Source organism: Homo sapiens, chromosome 2 (genome assembly GCF_000001405.40).
Source record: "Homo sapiens chromosome 2, GRCh38.p14 Primary Assembly".
Lineage (NCBI taxonomy): Eukaryota > Metazoa > Chordata > Mammalia > Primates > Hominidae > Homo > Homo sapiens.
This window is the reverse complement of record NC_000002.12, coordinates 182,635,537-182,653,938: the sequence shown is the minus strand read 5'-3', so window position 1 is coordinate 182,653,938 and position 18,402 is coordinate 182,635,537. Positions and strand designations below refer to the sequence as shown.

Below are 18,402 nucleotides of genomic sequence, written 5' to 3'. Positions count from 1 at the left end.
GTAGTGACGATGATGGATCTGATGTGCAGGAAGAAGAGAGTACCCTAGTTGCCCCAGTAAGGCACGTTTGTGTCAGAAGCTGGGAGAAGGACCCTATAAAGTTTCAGAGTTTCAGAGTAGCAATGATGGCAGAGGTTAAGACTCGTATCTGAGCCAGATCAGCCAGGATGAGTGGGCTACTAGTGCTGCTGAATGCTGGGCCTATCAGAAGCAGAGATCAATTATATGTTCCCATCCCTCAAGGAGATTAAGTAATCACTTGATGGCAAGTTGATTACATCAATCCCCTTCCATCCTGAAGATGAAACTGATTCTTCAATTGCTATCTTTTCTAGATATGGGTTTCCTTCCTTGATAACGGGGTTTCTGCAACACCTCATTCAAGCACTTACAGAATGTATGATTTACAAAAGCAATATTGTAAACATCCTGTCAGATCAAGAGCCTAATTTCATAGAGAAAGAGGTGAGTAAGCAAGTGTATGGCCAAATAGTTTTCTGGTCCTGCCACACACCACATCCCCTCGAAAAAAACCAAATGATTAAAATTATGGAGTGATTTAGTCAATGTCCTTCAGAATTGCCTTAAATCATTAGCGATACATAGCGAGGTGTCTCTCATGGCTAAAATATGCAGATCCAGGAAGCAAGACATGGAAACAGAATTGGTTCCCCTCCCTATCATCCTGAGGTCCACCTCAGGATGGAATTCATGTTTTCCTTTTTTAAATAAATTAGCTCTGCTATATTAGGGGAATATTTGCACTCAGCAATATGGTAAGTGCCCACTAAACCTGCAATTGTGACTACTTCAAAAGGGTCGAAAGTGATTCCTATGTTATGGGCTCCTCATGCCAGCAGAATGGCAGCCAAAAAAGAAGTATATTCCTGGGGGAAATGAGCCCCATGATCCTGAAGAGCTAGAGTTGCTACTACACAGTAGAACTCATGAGGTGCACTTGTGTGTCCATGTCTGGTGACAATGATGAACCAGAAATTGCAGTGACCATAACATGGTAAGAACAAAACAACTAAGAACTCAGAATCAGCTGAAGGTTTGGGTGACTCCATTAGACAAGCAACCTATATCAGCAAAAGAGGGACTGAGCAACCTGATGGACAAAAGGGAGAGAGAAATTACAAAGTGTAATAGAGAAGTGAAATATGAATATGAATTATGATTTGGGTACCAGTTGCAGCATTTGTAGTTTCTACCTGTAACTGTTGTATATGAAGCTTTTTGAAGAGGCCACCACCTTGAACACTCAGTGATGAATTGCATTTAATATAGGGTACAAGTGGGTCTCAATGGTACCAGGGGTGGACTGCGTCAAGAGGATGTGCCCCACCTCACATCCTGTGAGCTATACCTTTTTATCCGGCTGTGGCTGGGGAGGATAGTTCCATGCATGTTTTGACTCATTTTGCAGTGACGACATCTTGCCTCAGATCTCTATTGTATGTCTTTGATCTCAGGCCTAGGGTTCCTCTGACGCTGAGGATGAAGGAGGTGTAAAATAGGCAGTTGAAATAGGGATCCAGATCGTAGGAGGTCGATCTAGAGAGGTAAGTGTGTTTCTAGACTGCAGAAGGAATCTAAAGACCTGGGAGGGAAAAATTTCTCTAGGGAGAATTTCAGCAGTGAAATTAGACAGGTCATAGGGAAGAGTCCCAAAGAATATTTAAAACACTTATAGTCAAGGGACAGGTAATATATATGTGAGGAGAAAACATTGGCAAAGAAGCTTGAAGAGCAGTCTGCAATAATACTGGGAGAATGCTTCATGTTTTTATTCAAGGATGACCTAACTTGGCTGAACTCTCCATTTTATGTGAAAAACAGAAAACATACCTTATATGCATTGCTATTTATGATCTATACAGCCCTCCTATAAATTTTTACAATTGATACATTAAAAATACATAATAAGCTCAGCTGTCAATATTATCCCATTTTAGAGCTAAGTATGTTGGATCCCTGACTTCCTTGATAAATAGTGGAGTGCTAGATGTAAAAGCAAAGCCTATCTTTTGTTAAACTGCAGATTCCAAGTTTGCAGCTTTAGGCTTCACATATTCCTATTAGGCCTGCCATCACAGCCTTGTGATGATCTGTATGTCTTAAGTGGGGCGAAGACATTTCTAGCTATGCCTTTATTTTAATCAGTGTATGTTAATGCACCTATGTGTAAAAGCGTTTATTAGTTACCCAAATGCGTTGTATAAATTTTAGGTAGAAGCCTCAAATGTTAGATTAACAAATATTGTTTCCCTTTTGGTAACTTATGGACTGAAATGAATGTATAAGTTTTTAAAAAGTGCACACAAAAGATGAAATAGTCATACTGATATTAGAATTCCTTTGAATAAATTTGTATGTGTAGGACATAGAAAGTAGAATACAAATTAACACATTTTCAATACAAATCTTTAATATTTTTGTCTGTTCTAACTATGTAGATAGGTAATGTTCAAAGAGATTTCTCTTGGGAGGAAAAAGATCATACTAAATTTTGTAAAGAGATACATTTTTGTAGCAGCAATAGTCAAATTTTTCACATTTCTCAATTTCAATGACTGCAGCCAGAAATGATCAAATTATCTACCCCCCTAATTTGGCATTAAAAATACAAGGCCAGGTGTGGTGGCTCATACCTGTAATCCTAGCACTTTGGGAGGCCAAGGCGGGTGGACCACTTGAGGTCAGGAGTTCAAGACCAGGCTGGCCAACATGGTGAACCCCTATCTCTACTAAAAATACAAAAATTGGCTGGGTGTGATGGCAGGTGCCTGTAATCCCAGCTACTCAGGAGTCTGAGGCAGGGGAATTGCCTGAACCTGGGAGGCAGAGGTTGCAGTGAGTAAAGATCATGCCATTGCACTCCAGTCTGGGCAACAAGAGCGAAACTCCATCTGGAAAAAAACAAAACAAAACAAAACAAAAACCCAAAAAACAAAACACAAATAAGACTCTAGAGGGCACTCTACTCCTATTGTTTTTCAAGAAGCCTTTTTAAATGTAACATGAAGGCAGATATTTAAAAGTCATTGTGAATACTTCCAAGAAGGTTAGAATTCTTACGCAAGATCTTGAATATCAGTTGTCAGCATGGAGCAGTGGGATTTTCCTGTTCTCTTTCAAGTGTTTTCAGTTGGGATGGTTTAAGTTCTTTAATGCCGAGGATACAATTAATTTCTCAAGAGAGTATACTTACGTTAAAAAAGTTAGAGTTACAATATGTATAGGTATAATTGTTATCCCTACATTACTTTATGACATTTTACTTAATTACCTTGTATAACTGTTATTACTACTACTGTCATTTTTATCATTATTGTAGACATGAAATCAGAATTTTGAGATGCTTTCTGGGGAATAAGGTTATCAAAGTGTTTTGATTCAAGTAGCCTGGTTCTTCCCTATTTCCATGCACATGAAATGTATATAGGAGGGCCTCATTCCTAGGTTATAGTAGGTGCTAACTGAATGTTCCTTAAGTCTGAATCTGAAGTTAAAAAAATAACTTTTAATGTTATTGAATACATCACACTACATATTTGTATCTGTGCTCTCTGCTCTGGGCCATTCATGTTAAAACCTGGTCTCCTGGGATTTTATTTAGCCCAGAGACCAGTTTTGCTTGTTAGTAGGTTTTTAAAAATCTGAGTTAGACTGCATTTCAGTGATTGCATTCTAAATACTAAACAATACTTGCGTTTTCCCATAGTCTGAGACCCTGTGCCCTTATACATTTCCTCATCTACCTGGCACCTAAAGCCATGTGTGTTTTAAACCTATGGATAGATCTAGGATCTTTTTGCTGGCAGCAGATGTCTCTCTCTCTCTTTTTTGGAGAGAGAGTCTCGCTCTATCACCTAGGCTGGAGTACGATCACACCTAGATATGATCACAGCTCACTGCAGCCTCAAACTCCTGGGCTCAAGTGATCCTCTTATCTCAACCTTCCGAGTAGCTGAGACTACAAGCATGAGCTACCATGTCTGGCTAATTTAAAAAAAAATTTTTTTGTAGGCCGGGCACAGTGGCTCACACCTGTAATCCCAGCACTTTGGGAGGCTGAGGTGGATGGATCACAAGGTCAGGAGTTTAAGACCAGCCTGGCCAAGATGGTGAAACCCTGTTTCTACTAAAAATACAAAAATTAGCCGGACGTGGTGGCAGGCGCCTGTAATCCCAGCTACTTGGGAGGCTGAGGCAAATAATTGCCTAAACCTGGGAGGCAGAGGTTGCAGTGAACTGAGATTGCGCCCCTGCAATCAAGCCTGGGTGAAAAAGCGAGACTCCATCTCAATTTTTTTTTTTTTTTTTTTGTATAGAGTGGGGTCTTGGTATATTGCCCAGGCTGGTCTCGAACTGCTGGGCTCAAGAGACCCTCCCACCTTGGCCTCCCAAAGTGCTGGAATTACAATTGTCAGCCACTGCTCCCGGCCAGTAGATGTCTCTCTTGAACATCATTTCATGATTGAACAAGGTTTACCTGCCCCCTGAAAAAACCTCTTTAGCTTCCTGCGTCTCTCTATGTTCTACGGCTGGGACTTTATTCCTATTTGTAGGCTCAACTTTCCTACCTCTGACCAAGGGGAACTGAAGTGTTAGGAATAGCTCATGTTGCTTTTCCTATTCTGATTTTGGTTTCTGTGCTAATAACTTATGTTGCACAAAGCTGCTACCACATACCCTGTCGCCAGGCAGTGGGTACCAAGATTGTTTTTAATATGTCTGAATCTTATCTTGGTAATCTCTCAGCTATCCAGTTTCTTCTCAACTAACTCACATCTCATTTTCTTCTTTCTATGCCTGAAGATGATAGTTTCAGATGTATTCTAGGCCACCAGAGGGGCCTGCTACCTGCTGCCACTTACACACACCTCACAATTTTTCCATTCTACATTCCCATTGCTGTGTTTCCCCACCCACTTGTAGGGACACCTCTTGTTTGACTGTCCTGATATGAGCACTTGCTCTGGTACCCTTTACCTAGTAGCAATAATTGCTCATATTTAGGTGGCACTTTCAAACACCAGCTCTGATAATAACATCTATAAACTGGATATCATCACTTCTTTTGTATAGATGATAAAAATGTGACTGGAAGTGTTGGCATTTGCACCCATGTCTTCATATTACAGGTATTAGGATGCTTTGTTGGTGTTTATTTAAATTAATTGCAACTGGCTTTAACTGCCTTGTCTTGAATTTTTTTTTTTTTTTTTTTAAAGAGACAGGGTCTTGCTCTGCCACCCAGGCTGAGTGCAGTAACATGATTATGACTCACTGCAGCCTCAATCTCCTGGGATCAAGTGATCCTCCTCCCTCAGCCTCCCAGGCAGCTAGGACTCCAGGCATGCACCAGTGCACCACTACATCCAGGTAATTTTTTTAATTTTTTTTTTTTTTTTTTTTTTTGTGGGGACAGGGTCTTGCTTGCTCTGTTGTCCAGGCTGGTCTCAAACTCCTGGCCACAAGGGATCCTCCAGCCTCAGCTTCCTAAGTGCTGGGATTACAGGTGTGAGCCACTGTGCCCAGCCTGGACTTATTACTGCATCTACTTAAGCTCTTGCCACAAACTGTGAGGCCTTAATGTTTTTGTTCTGCTCGTCTGAATCAGAGCTCCTATTCTGACTCCAACAACTGGACCGTCTTATTAAGAATGAGGCTTACTACTCGCAAGGCTCAGAATGTCCCAACAAGCCCATAGAAACATCTTTTTAGCTACAGTGCTAGCTCAAACTTACCTGATGAGGAACACGTGAGGCACTTGTTATATGCACAGATTGCCAGGTTACCAGGTTTCTTCTCCAATATACTATGGTTTTTCCAATATACCATGGTTTAGTAGGTCCGGGCTGAGGCCTGAGAGTTTTTTAAACAAGTGTTCTAGTCAGTTCTTATCTTCAAGCAAATTTGAAAATCAGCTTTCTAGAGGAAAGTCTCTCAGAAGGATGTGAGGTTAACCTGCCGATACTCACCTCACTTCCTTTCCTGTGCCTTTTTTTTTCCTCAGTAAATTTGGGCATCTTTCTCTCCCTTTTTTGTCCTCCTCTGCCTAGCTCTTCCTGTCAATGACAGAATTTCATTTAATTGTTTATCAGCTCACTGTGTAATTTGGGTTTCGAAAGCCAATTTTTCTACAGAGGCTTCTTATGCTAAATTGAACTGGAGTAAATGATTCTGAAATTGTAGCCACCAAGATGATTTAGTCTTTACTGTAGCATCGTATCTTTAAAAGCCATACACTAATGAAAGGTTTTGGAACCAGATGGTGTTCAACTTAAGTCTTATCTGCTCAGAAAAAGGTGATATGTCTTTTCCTAAGTGACTCCATTTTATCCCTGCAGAAGCTGCTGATTATCTCGATAGTCTGTCTCAATAACTATCTCAATAACTCTTAATAGACTACCTCAATAACCCTTAAATTGAATTCCATGAGGCTCTTGGCACATTATAAAAACAAAGCACATAAAGATACCATAGGAAAAATGACAAATTATATGATTGTTATTGTATTAAGTTGTTCTGGGAAGGTGTACGATCCAATCTAATCTAACTATGCTTTATTGGAAAGAGACCAGAAATAAATTCTGATCTTGAAAACTGCTGATCCATCCATTCAGTAATCTATCTTGTCAAGATCCCTCATCTGTGCAAGCATCACCCTAATAGAGCATATGGAAAGGTACAGGGACACAGGTGAGTGCACGCAGTGATGTCCCCTGAGAGAAGAGACTTCCTGGGGTGAAGTCATTTTGGAGGTTTTGTTGTGCTGAGGGGCTGGTCCTCAGCTGGACAGCCTTAAAAATCCTAATTCGGTCAGTTCCACAGGTGGGTTCAACATTGTTAAAAACAAAGAAACAAACTCCCAACAAATTCTTAAAACTAATGCAAAAAGTCATCGTGCCAATCTCTTACTTTACCATTATCTGTGTGATAAGAACTGGAATCCAATTATCAGCATGGCCACATCTGCTTTGTCTCCACGCAGGCCTAGATGGAAACCAGTTTATTACCAGAGAGCCTGATGGCTAAATTTACTGCTTTTTCTTGACACCATCTGTGTAGGCACTGCCAATGTTTTCAAAAGAGTCTCCTATGATTTTTTAGCTGATCTTTCATTCTGCTTAATACATAATTTCTTCAGCAATATTACTACCTTTAATTGGGTTATACTTATGTTTCACTGACTTGGGAATTATTCTTTTTGGGTGACTTTGCTTAATTCTTTTTTTTTTTTTCCTAGATGGAGTCTAGCTCTGTCACCTAGGCTGGAGTGCAGTGGCGCGATCTCGGCTCACTGCAACCTCCGCCTCCCGGGTTCAAGCGATTCTCCTGCCTCAGCCTCCGAATAGCTGGGATTACAGGCGCCTGCCACCATGCCCAGATAATTTTTGTATTTTTAGAGACATGATTTCACTGTGTTGGCCAGGCTGGTCTCGAACTCCTGACCTTGTGATCTGCCCGCCGTGGCCTCCCAAAGTACTGGGATTACAGGTGTGAGCCACCGCGTATGGCTTTTTTTTTTTTTTTTTGAACCTTCACCTCCTGGGTTCAAACGATTCTCCTGCCACAGCCTCCCGAGTAGCTGGGACTACAGGTACGCACCACTATGCCCATTTTTTTTTTTAATGTATTTTTAGTAAAGACAGGGTTTCACCACGTTGGCCAGTCTGGTCTCAAACTCCTGGCCTCAGGTGATCTACCTGCCTCGGCCTCTGAAAGTGCTGGGATTACAGGCATGCCCTGCCCATTTTCCTTAATTCTTAATGTAATTAGCCATGACCAATCCAACCTATATTCTTATCCATCTAACTCTGTAAAAGAGTGGCTGAAGGTTGTTTTCTTTCTTTTTCTTTTTTTTACTATACCCTTTTAAAAATTTATCTTTTATATCCCCATGTAGCCTATTGGAAGTTATTTTCAACCAAAATATGACATTTCCTTCCCCAAATGGGGAGGATACGAATCACTCATTCAGCATATTTAGAAAAAGAGAAAATATATTTTAGGCAAATTCTTTACTTTGGATGACATTTAACATGAATAATAATTTACCTTGTTGAGGAGGGAGGTAATATTTAAAACATGGATTTTTCTTAACTATGGAACAAGAAGCTGGCATAACCTTCACCGTTTTACCTTTTCAAATTAACAGTTATGTTGTACCTGGATTTAGTATATTTTGTTCTGTAGTGGCCATATATTAATTTTTTTTCTTTTCATTAGAAATTGTAGACTTAATCTGCAAAAATTTTTGTTTTTCGTTTACTTTAGAAATCTTGAACTTTTGTTTTTTTGAGCATAATGATTTTGATAAACATTTCATTATTATCTGAATATCTGACAAGCTCTCCATTAACATTCCAAATAGTACAATAGCTGACTTCAATTTGACAAAAAAAGATAAGTGTTCTCTGGCCTCCAGTGTTATTGATGTGTTTTGAATAAGAAATGCCAACCACGCTTGAATGGCTTAGTAAAGATGAAGAAAATGTGAAAAAAGATAGATTGCCAGTGATGATTTTATAATAAGTGACAATTTTATTAGAAAGAATGCCCTCACAGAAATATTTCATCAGGTAAAACGGAATATTTATATTAAAACAAATATCCATAACAGAAAGTAGCCACAAAAATACAGAAGAGGCGGTGGCTCACGCCTGTAATCCCAGCACTTTGGGAGGCCGAGGCGGGCAGATCACGAGGTCAGGAGATAGAGATCATCCTGGCTAACATGGTGAAACCCCATCTCTACTAAAAAATACAAAAAATTAGCTGGGTGTGGTGGCGGGCACCTGTAGTCCCAGCTACTCGGGAGGCTGAGGCAGGAGAATGGCGTAAACCCAGGAGGCTGAGCTTGCGGTGAGTGGAGATTGTGCCACTGCACTCCAGCCTGGGCAACAGAGCGAGACTCAGTCTCAAAAAAAAAAAAAAAAAATACAGAAGACATGGGCATGCTTGAGGAAGCAGAAATAATTAATTTCATTTTAAATTACTATACTTTTCAAAATTGAAATAATTTAATGCTATTATCTATTTTTCAAATATATGTGTTTATATTATGGTTTTTTTTCCAGACTCTACTTATGTTCCAACATCTTGGTGGGTTTCACTGATCCTGTTTAGGTCTTAAATAGAACTGGGAAAGAAGAAGGAACCATGTGCTAGTCATTCTGCCTCTTATGCTACCTCCCTTGTCACAGTTTTTCATCACCACAGTCCTCTGAACAGGTTGTATCCTTCCCACTCATAGATGTGAAAATCAGGCTCAGCGAGATGACGTCCTTGCCAAAGGTCACAGTATTAGTAACTTTGGCAAAATTGGTGTCAGAAGCTCAATCTTCTAGTTTAGTAACTCATTCCACACCATGGATTGTACTTCTTAAACTATATAACAACATGCACTTGGAGAGTTATAATTCTTACCTTCTAATGTAGAATTTTTGCTAGGATCCTTTTACTGTATTAGAAGAGCATTACAGTTTATTTCAAACCTGATGAATGTTTGAACTTAACTATTTTTGATCCATTAACTCTAGAAACCACCATCCCAAACTCCATGGTTTGGATCTAATAACAACTTTGGGTTTCATACATGGCTTTACATACACAGACACACACAGACACACACACACACACACACACACACACACACACACAGAGTCTTAAGACTCTGACCTGGAGACATCGGAAGTAAAAGCCCAGATTTAAGTCATTTTTGGTGGTTGGTAAATCCTCAGGTGTAGAAGCTCATTACAAGGCTCTGTGTGTGTGTGTGTGTGTGTGTGTGTGTGTAATCATTGATTAGAGAGAAGGTATCTCTGACTTAACAAATTAAATATGACAATTAGGCTATGAAGAGCATCAACTCACTTGAGGCAAACTGTAGTGTTCTGGGAATTAAAAAAAGGGAAAACTTACAAGAGATTAATCATCAGCATTTATGTATCATCCATCATAAGCTAAACAAAGAATTTTGGTTGTATAAATCAATGGGACTTGGCTGAATTCCTGGCCTAATTAATAAGCCATCCACATAAGCAGCTTAAATATATTGCAAATAAATTACAATATATTATTTTCTCATATTTTTCTAGATGTGCCAAAGCAAATGTCCTTCATATCAATTCTTTCATTTAAAGATCTGACACTGAGTTTCTCTCTCTTTTTGTTATTGTAGTGTCCCCCTGAACAGTAGCCATTGTTTCTGGACCTCCATTTTTAAACCTTTTCTTTCTCTTCCTGAAGATAAAGAGCAATGCTAATAGTTCTGGTGAGAGAGCTTTCTCTTTCATGACTCCTCTTGTCTACTTCTACATGCCTTCACTTCCTTCTTAGAACTATAACTCAAAAAATGCCTCACTCGAAAAATAATACCATTTGTTGTAGAGCAAACATATTGGGAAGAAAGTTATGCAATGTATAACGGTTGGGCAGGAAGCTGAGATGAGAATGCAAGATGAGAAAAGACAAGGTAAGACTGAGGGCAGTACCCAAGACCAGGCATAAGATGAGCCAGACCCAGAGAGAACCTGGAAGCTGGATATAGGGAGAAAAACATGAGACCTAGGCGGCAGACCTGGCTCCCTGCTTACCTGTGCCGTACCAGGCAATTAATTAACCTCTCAGCACTAATTTTTAATCTGTATAAAATGAGAACTATACTCTGCCTCAAAGGAGGTTTACAAGTATTTGAATGTGCTTGGTAACTTGTGACTGGCTAATACGGAGCTGGAGGAGCAGAAGCAAGCAGCCAGGAATTGAGCAGGACTCAGGATCCTGACGACCAGGACCCAGCAGTAGTTGTCTTTGGGCCTGAAGCAAAGGTTAAGGCTGCCTCACCTGGAGGGCTGCACTAGACAGGGAATATTCTTTAAGAGGAGGATGTGGCTGAGATAAATGATGGGCATCAGGTCTCCTTGTAACCTCTGATTTTCCATGCTTGGGCACATGCCTGTCCCTGACACTCAGTTTAAGGGTGTCAACTTGTGTTTGTTCCTGCCTCCAGAAGGAAGGCATTTCTGGAGCCAATTAAAGGGAGTAAATGGTTGTCACTGGGAAATCTAAAGTGTCACTGGAAGACGCAATTTTCAGGATTTAAGCCAGACAATGTTCCCTAAAATAACTTAGGGTTCTAAAATGAGATGATGGAAGGCTTCAAAGACAACTTTACAGAACTTCTAAAGTTAATTCTACTAGGTTAGATATCTTAGCATCAGAGGTAAGTGAAAAAGAAAATGTATAGATAAACTTCAGCATCTCTTCCCCAATTCCTTTTAAGAGATGGGAGCCATCTCTTCCCCAATTTCATAACAACCGGTGTGGCCTGGCTGCATATTTATGTTTCCTAATCCTCCATAGCACACCCTCCAGGCCTGACCAATCAGAGCGCTGCATCCCGCTGACCTCAGTGATTGCTATGGGGATGAGCATGTAACTCACAGTGGGCAAATTCAGAGTCCTCAGGTTTATGACATCTCTAATCCACATGGTCTTAGGGATACCTGCAGCCATTTCAAATCCTGTCTGATCTGAGGCAAAGCAGTGGAAAGCAGAGCCAAAGTCAAGGAGGAAAGAGAACAGAGTTCTGATGATGTTGTTTAAATTCCTGGATTTAACAGGAGATTTATCTTTTATGATCTTCTCACTTACATTTTTCTGTCACTTGATGCTGAAAATGTTCTGGCTTATACAGTTTCCAAAGCGTTGAGCCCCAAATATTTCTTATTATATTACATAAATTATAATTTAGTGAAGCAAAAGTAAAAGAAATATTTTAGACTACAAATAATTTGCAGGATTCCATATCATGTGTAGCCCCTGCTGAAGTGTTTGCTTTAGAAATAATAGTTAAGTTTGTCCTATGAAACCTTTCCGTGAAAACTTTTCTCATAGGTCTTTGTCTTTATGATTAAATGCAATTGGTTAGGAAAGAAAGTTTCTAGTGACTTTAAATAATAGGCCTCAGATGATCTTAGGAGGTACGTCATAGTAAATTAGAAAAGTGTGCAGATAGCTTTTCTTGGATGCACCTTTCGACAATTGAAGATTGCTTAAATGTCAACTGTGAAGACATGTATTGTTTCATGTACCTGGGAGAGCAGCTATACTGACATGCTCAAATTTCCAAATGATTATCCTGCCTAAGAATAGTAACAATAAATATGTTACAAAAACAATAAATAAATTGCTTGTAACCTCAGAAAAACTTTGTAGAGGTCTTTAGTCATTATTCGGGTTGTAAAATTAACTTATTATGTGAAGATGTGAAAGAAGACTAACGTTCTCAGAACATGAAACCATAGTAACTTGTTAATTATAAATTCATTGTCTTCTTTTTCATCATAATGATTCATTTTATAAATGAGATGAATAAAAGTCCAAAAAACTCATTTGGATTAGTGGTTTGCTCTTAGTTAAAAAATTTCAATTTATAACTGCTTTCTTGGGAAAAATGTTGAAATACCCAAAGTTTTGGACAAATATCTAATGATCACTCTTTGTATTAGTTATGAAATATGGGGAATAGCTTAACTATGACAACAGGTAAAAAATTGGCCTAGTTTTTAATGATTGAAAATATTTTTTACATTATTTTATTTGATTTTCTGGTTAGGTAATCCTAAACTAAAATAGAATGGTGAAAAATCTGTCTCATCCTTTTCCCCCATATGCCTAGTACTTTCCCTACATTCTTCTTCCCACTTCTCCTCTTACATAGGCAACCATCTTTTTAGTTTTTTAATGTAAACTCTATCCTTTCAGAGTTTCTTTATGCATCTATAAAAATGTGTACCTAGAATCTTAATGTTCTTTCATTTTTCACATGTTTGAAAACTTACTACATGGTTTGTTCTCTTGCTTTGTATTCCTTGTATATCTTCTTCTTCTTCTTTTTTTTTTTGAGATGGAGTCTCACTCTGTTGCCCAGGCTGGAGTGCAGTAGTGTGATCTCGGCTCACTGCAACCTCCACCTACCAGGTTCAAGCAATTCTCCTGCCTCAGCCTCCCAGGTGGCTGGGATTACAGCTGTGTGCCACCATGTCTGGCTAATTTTGGTAGTTTTAGTAGAAACGAGGTTTTACTATGTTGACCAGTCTGGTCTTGAACTCCTGACCTCAAGTGATCTGCCTGCCTTGGCCTCCCAAAGTGCTGGGATTACAGGCATGAGCCACTGCACCCGGCCTGCATATTTTCTGATAATTCAGAATTCTTTTTTTCCTTCTAGTGGTTGCTTTCATGAATATAATTGTGTATTATACCCTTTGTCTTACAGTATCGATCCTACTAAGAGAAATGATAAAATTAGCATTTTATCTTCTTCCATGCACCCTCCTTCTTCCACCATTTGATATTAGAAAATAAAATCATTTTAGTATTTACTCTTATATTCTTAAATATACGTATGTTTCTATTAATTGATTTGTCAGCTTCAAATATTTTTATTCCCAGCTGACAGGTAGGACAATCAGAATATTTATTTACTTTCTACCTCTTTCCTTAATGCCCTTCCTGTTTTGATGGGTTGTATCATTTCAATAACTTCAGAGCATGTAATATTTACATTCTGATTGTTCACTGTTATCCCCACTTTTATTCAGTGTCAGTTCTAAGAGAAATATATTTCAGTCCTCATTTATGGTCTCTTTGCTGCAGTTTTCCTGACTTCGCTTGCGTAAAGTTTGTATTTTAATATTTTCCTCAAGAAGGCTTGTGGAACCAACATTCCTGAGTTCTTGTATACACAACCTTCACACTTGAATAACAGCTTGGCAAGATATAAAATTCTTAGCCCATGCTTTGGTTTTTGTGAACCCTGTAGGTATTGCTTTACTGTCCTCTAGTATTATAAGACATTGAGGAGTTATATGAATACAGCCTGAATTATTTTCCCCAAGAAATTATTTAAAGTTCTTGCTAGACTTCACCATTTTTTTTAACATCCTTTAAACAGGAATAGACCATATTGTTGAGCATTCTAATTTATTTTTTTCTGAATAATGTGTCCTTTTATTATAATATATAGATTATCTATGCATATATATAATAAATATATATTTATATAAATTATATGTTTCAGAGCTGTTTTATGATTGATATCTTTATATATTTGTTCTATTCCATTGTATTTGTTTTATTCTCTCAGGATTCCAGTTACATGTATGATGGATCTCTTTTGCTTATCTTCTGTATCTAATATTTTCTCATTCTTTTAAATTTTGTTTTCATTTCATGTTGCTTACTCTTCTTTTTGGCCTAAATATGTCAATATCTCTTACTGTATTTTTCACAGGATTTCTCTCTTTTTCGATTTTATTTTCATTTAGATGATAGTTTTTAATTATTTTTTATTTTCCTAAGAGAATTTTACTCTGTCATGCAGGCCGGAGTGCAGTGGCATGATCTTGGCTCACTGCAACCTCTGCCTCTTGGGTTCAAGTGATTCTCCTGCCTCGACCTCCTGAGCAGCTGTGATTACAGGTGTGTGCCACCCTGCCCAGCTAATTTTTGTATTTTTGTAAGAGACGGGTTTTCGCCACATTGGCCAGGCTGGTCTCGAACTCCTGGCTTCAAGAGATCTGCCTCACTTGGCCTCCCAAAGTGTGGGGATTACAGGCAAATTTATTTTAATCCTCACTTTCTTTCCTGAGTTCTCTCAGGTCATGTTTCATCTTCTTCTGTTTTCTTACTCTCTGCTTAGGTTTTCTTACCATTTCTCTTTTGCCTTCTTGTATTTTCGCCTTCTGATTTATATTCAGAGAGCAATTGCTTTATTAAGTTCTGAAATTCATGGAAAAATGTTTAATCCAAGTTTTTATCTACTTATGATGTATGTTCCTCTTTTGGTAAGTTTTCCTGCTCTTTCTGTTTCTCATACTGAAATTTTGTATCAGCACTGTCAGATCTTTCAAAATGTCATGAGTTAGATTTCCTTGACCCTGCTGTTGAAAGGAGGTGTCTTCAGAGTCTGGGCTGACATTTTCTGAGTTCTCACCACTGAAATTCTGAGTATCTTTGCTACACTTTCCTCACCACATGGCTTCTGTTTATTCAGTCTCTATCTGGTTCCCTCCTGATCTGGAATCTCTTGTGTGGAAAGGTGATAGTTTTATCATCTCAGTGCGAGCCCCTAGCCTACCAGAAGCGCTAGGCTGGCTTGTCATTTACTTTTCTTTTTACTGCTTCTGTTGTAATCTTCCTGTGCAACTTTGTCACTTTGTCATGATTTTAGTTGCTTTTGCTAAAATTTTTATGCAGATTATATCTAATGTTTTTCGCTGAAAATAATGGGCTTTTTCCCATTTACCCTGATACCTTTGTGTGACATTCAGGAGGAGAAGAGAAAGCCATCTTTTTGTATGCCTAAATTGTTTTTTTCATTTTTTTTGAGATGGAGTCCCACTCTGTCGCCCAGGCTGGAGTGCAGGGGCGCAATCTCAGCTCACTGCAACCTCTGCCTCCTGGGTTCAAGTGATTCTCCTGCCTCTGTCTCCTGAGTAGCTGGGATTACAGGCACCCGCCATCACACCTGGCTAATTTTTGTTATTTTTAGTAGAGATGTTCACCATGTTGGCCAGGCTGGTCTCGAACTTCTGACCTCAGGTGATCCACCTGCCTTGGCCTCCCAAAGTGCTGGGATTACAGGTGTGAGCCACTGCACCCGACTGTATGCCTGATTTTTATTTTAATTATTTAGTTTGAACTAATTTTAGACTTATAGAATAAATGCATGAGCAATCCCTCATCCTTTTTCCTCTATTTAACATCTTACACTCCCAAAGGATAATTATCAAGAACAGGAAATTAATATTTGTACAATATTATTAATTAAGAGATTCCATTAGAATTTCATGAATTTCCTTGATAATGTTTCTTTTCTCCTTCAGAATTTATCCAGGATTTCACATTGCATTTAGTTTTTATTTCTCCATTGTTTCTTCCCGTCTGTGATAGTTCCGTGGTCTTTTCCTTTTTTGTATGACTTTGACTTTTTGTTTTTTTGAGACAGAGTCTCGCTCTGTTGCCCAGGCTGGAGTGCAGTGGCATGATCTTGACTCACTGCAACCTCTGCTTCCTGGGGTTCAAGTGATTCTCCTGCCTCAGCCTCCTGAGTAGCTAAGATTACAGGCACGTACCACCATGCCTGGCTAATTTTTGTATTTTTAGTAGAGATGGGGTTTCATCACGTTGGGAGCCTGGTCTTGAACTCTTGGTCTCAAGTGATCCGCCCACCTCAGCCTCCCAAAGTGCAGGAATTACGGGTGTGAGCCACAGTGCCCGGCCTGACTTTGACATTTTGGAAGAGTACTGATTCTTTGGTAAGAAAATTCAGGCTCCTATGCTGAGATTCTAACCTTCATCATTGGTATTTTCTTATATTAGCCACACTGATATGAGCTCTTTTCTTTAATTGGTCTTTCATATTTCCATTTTATTAGCTTCATTTTTTGACAACTTGAGGAATATTTAAAAATTCAGATTCTTATGCTTAGATTCTAATCTTCACCATATTTGGCATCTGTATGGATTAGCCACTAATCAACTTGGTTCTTCACAGTTCAGTTCATCAACTTTTTCTGGATTGCTGTGGGATTTTCAGTCTGCCAAAGGGTAGAACTAGGAGATTATATTAGCTAATCAATGGAGTAGTATATCTTTGGTGAAATTTATTTTGCTATGTCTCAAATGCTGGATGCAGTTATAGGATGTCTAGGAAGAATAATGACCTCTTTTAAATTCTCATGCCCTATCACCAGACCTATGAAGATGTTACATGATAAAAGGAATTTTGCAGATGTGATTAATGTTACAGACATTAAAATAGGAAGATTATCCTGGGTTGTCCTGCTGGACCTAGCTTAATTACATGAGCCTTTAAAAGTAAATAATTGTTTTTTCAGGCGGAGTTAGAGAGATGTGGCAGAAAGACAAGTCAGAGATATTTTATTGCCAGAGGTATTCAACCCGCCATTGCTGGAGGGAGCTCATGAAAAGCATGAGAAGAATGTGCACAGCCTCTAGGAGCAAAGACCAGCCCCCTGCTGACAGCCAGCAAGGAAATAGGGACCTTAATGCTACAAACACAAGAAACTGAACTTAGCCAGCAACCTGACTGAGCTGGGAGGCATATTCTTCCCTAGAGTGTCCAGTAAGGAGCGCAGCCTCATCGGGCATCCTGTGAGACTCTAAGCAGGGTCTGACCGACTCCTCAACTATAGAACTGTGAGATAATCAATTTGTATTGTTTTACACCTCTAAGAAGCAATTATAAACTATTATAATACATGGGAGAAAGTTCGCTTTGCTGATTAGGGAATACATGTACTGATGAAAGCAAAATACGTTTGTTTGAAATAAAAATCGTGCTAAATGGGTTTTTTTCTCATTGTGAAAATTACATGATGAAGGGAAACTGGGTGACTTAATCACCTTTTGGGTGATTTAAATCATATTTTATCACTTGAAAGCAGCGTTTCTGAACTTCCCGTACAAACCTAACTAAGGTAAATCAGGATTATGCTGTTTTCCTTCTAGAAATTATCCAAAAGTTAAAGACAGAGTTAAAAAAGAAAAAAAACCCCAGTGAATTCCATTTTTGTTGGAACTAGGAGACAGCTATTAATCAGCAGGCTAAAAATTACTTTAAGCCTAAAAAATACAGGTGAGGCCGGGCTCAATGTATCACGCCTGTAATCCCAGCACTTTGGGAGGCTGAGGCGGGTAGATCACGAGGTCAGGAGATCGAGACCATCCTGTCTAACACGGTGAAACACCTTCTCTACTAAAAATACAAAAAAAAATTAGCCGGGCACGGTGGCGGGCACCTGTAGTCCCAGCTACTCGGGAGCCTGAAGCAGGAGAATGGCGTGAACCCGGGAGGTGGAGCTTGCAGTGAGCCGAGATAGTGCCACTGCAGTCCGGCCTGGGCAAAAGAGCAAGACTCTGTCTCAAAAAAAAAAAAAAAAAAAAAAAAAATACCGGTGAGATCGAGCAGAAGCTTTATTGACGGAAGTAAAGAAAAATAAGGACTCAGAGCAGTGGGAGAATTCAGTGGCAGCAGACCTCAGAAAACATTAATCAAAATTTACCTCCTTATACCTTAAATATGTACAATTTTTATTTGTTAATTATACCTCAATAAAGCTGGAAAAAGAAAACCAAAAAAACTCACCTCCCATATGAAGGACACTCTTTGAAGTTAAAAAGAAGTTCCACATATGTGGAGAGAGAGAGAGAGAGAGAGAGAGATAGATACTCTTAAAACAAAGTGATCCATAAATGATTAAAATGAAAAGTTGGCCAACCGAAGATGTGGGAACAGCTGGTGATAAGCTAGACTGGTGACAGAAACTCTCCTAAACCTGTTCAAGTCCATAAGATGTACTG

The 18,402-nt window shown here is 39.0% G+C and overlaps 1 protein-coding gene and 1 long non-coding RNA gene across 2 annotated transcripts in view, besides 1 other annotated feature; both read left to right on the top strand.

Annotated features, from left to right (window-relative positions):
• PDE1A (phosphodiesterase 1A) overlaps positions 1 to 18,402 on the top strand; it is a 576,757-nt gene that overhangs the window by 62,859 nt on the left and 495,496 nt on the right. The gene's annotated exons all lie outside the window — the stretch shown is intronic.
• Positions 889 to 2,088: an enhancer, noted in NCBI's record as "P300/CBP strongly-dependent group 1 enhancer chr2:183516578-183517777 (GRCh37/hg19 assembly coordinates)". NCBI's record gives its function as "activates an origin of replication core promoter dependent on BRD2, BRD4, P300/CBP, MED14 and CDK7 cofactors, with strong dependence on P300/CBP, by STARR-seq in HCT116 cells {active_cell/tissue: HCT116}" and the evidence as "EXISTENCE:reporter gene assay evidence [ECO:0000049][PMID:35650434]".
• Positions 9,057 to 17,390, top strand: LOC124907914 (uncharacterized). The gene is made up of 2 exons (XR_007087328.1): positions 9,057 to 10,288; positions 16,917 to 17,390. It is a non-coding gene; the product is annotated as an uncharacterized LOC124907914 (long non-coding RNA).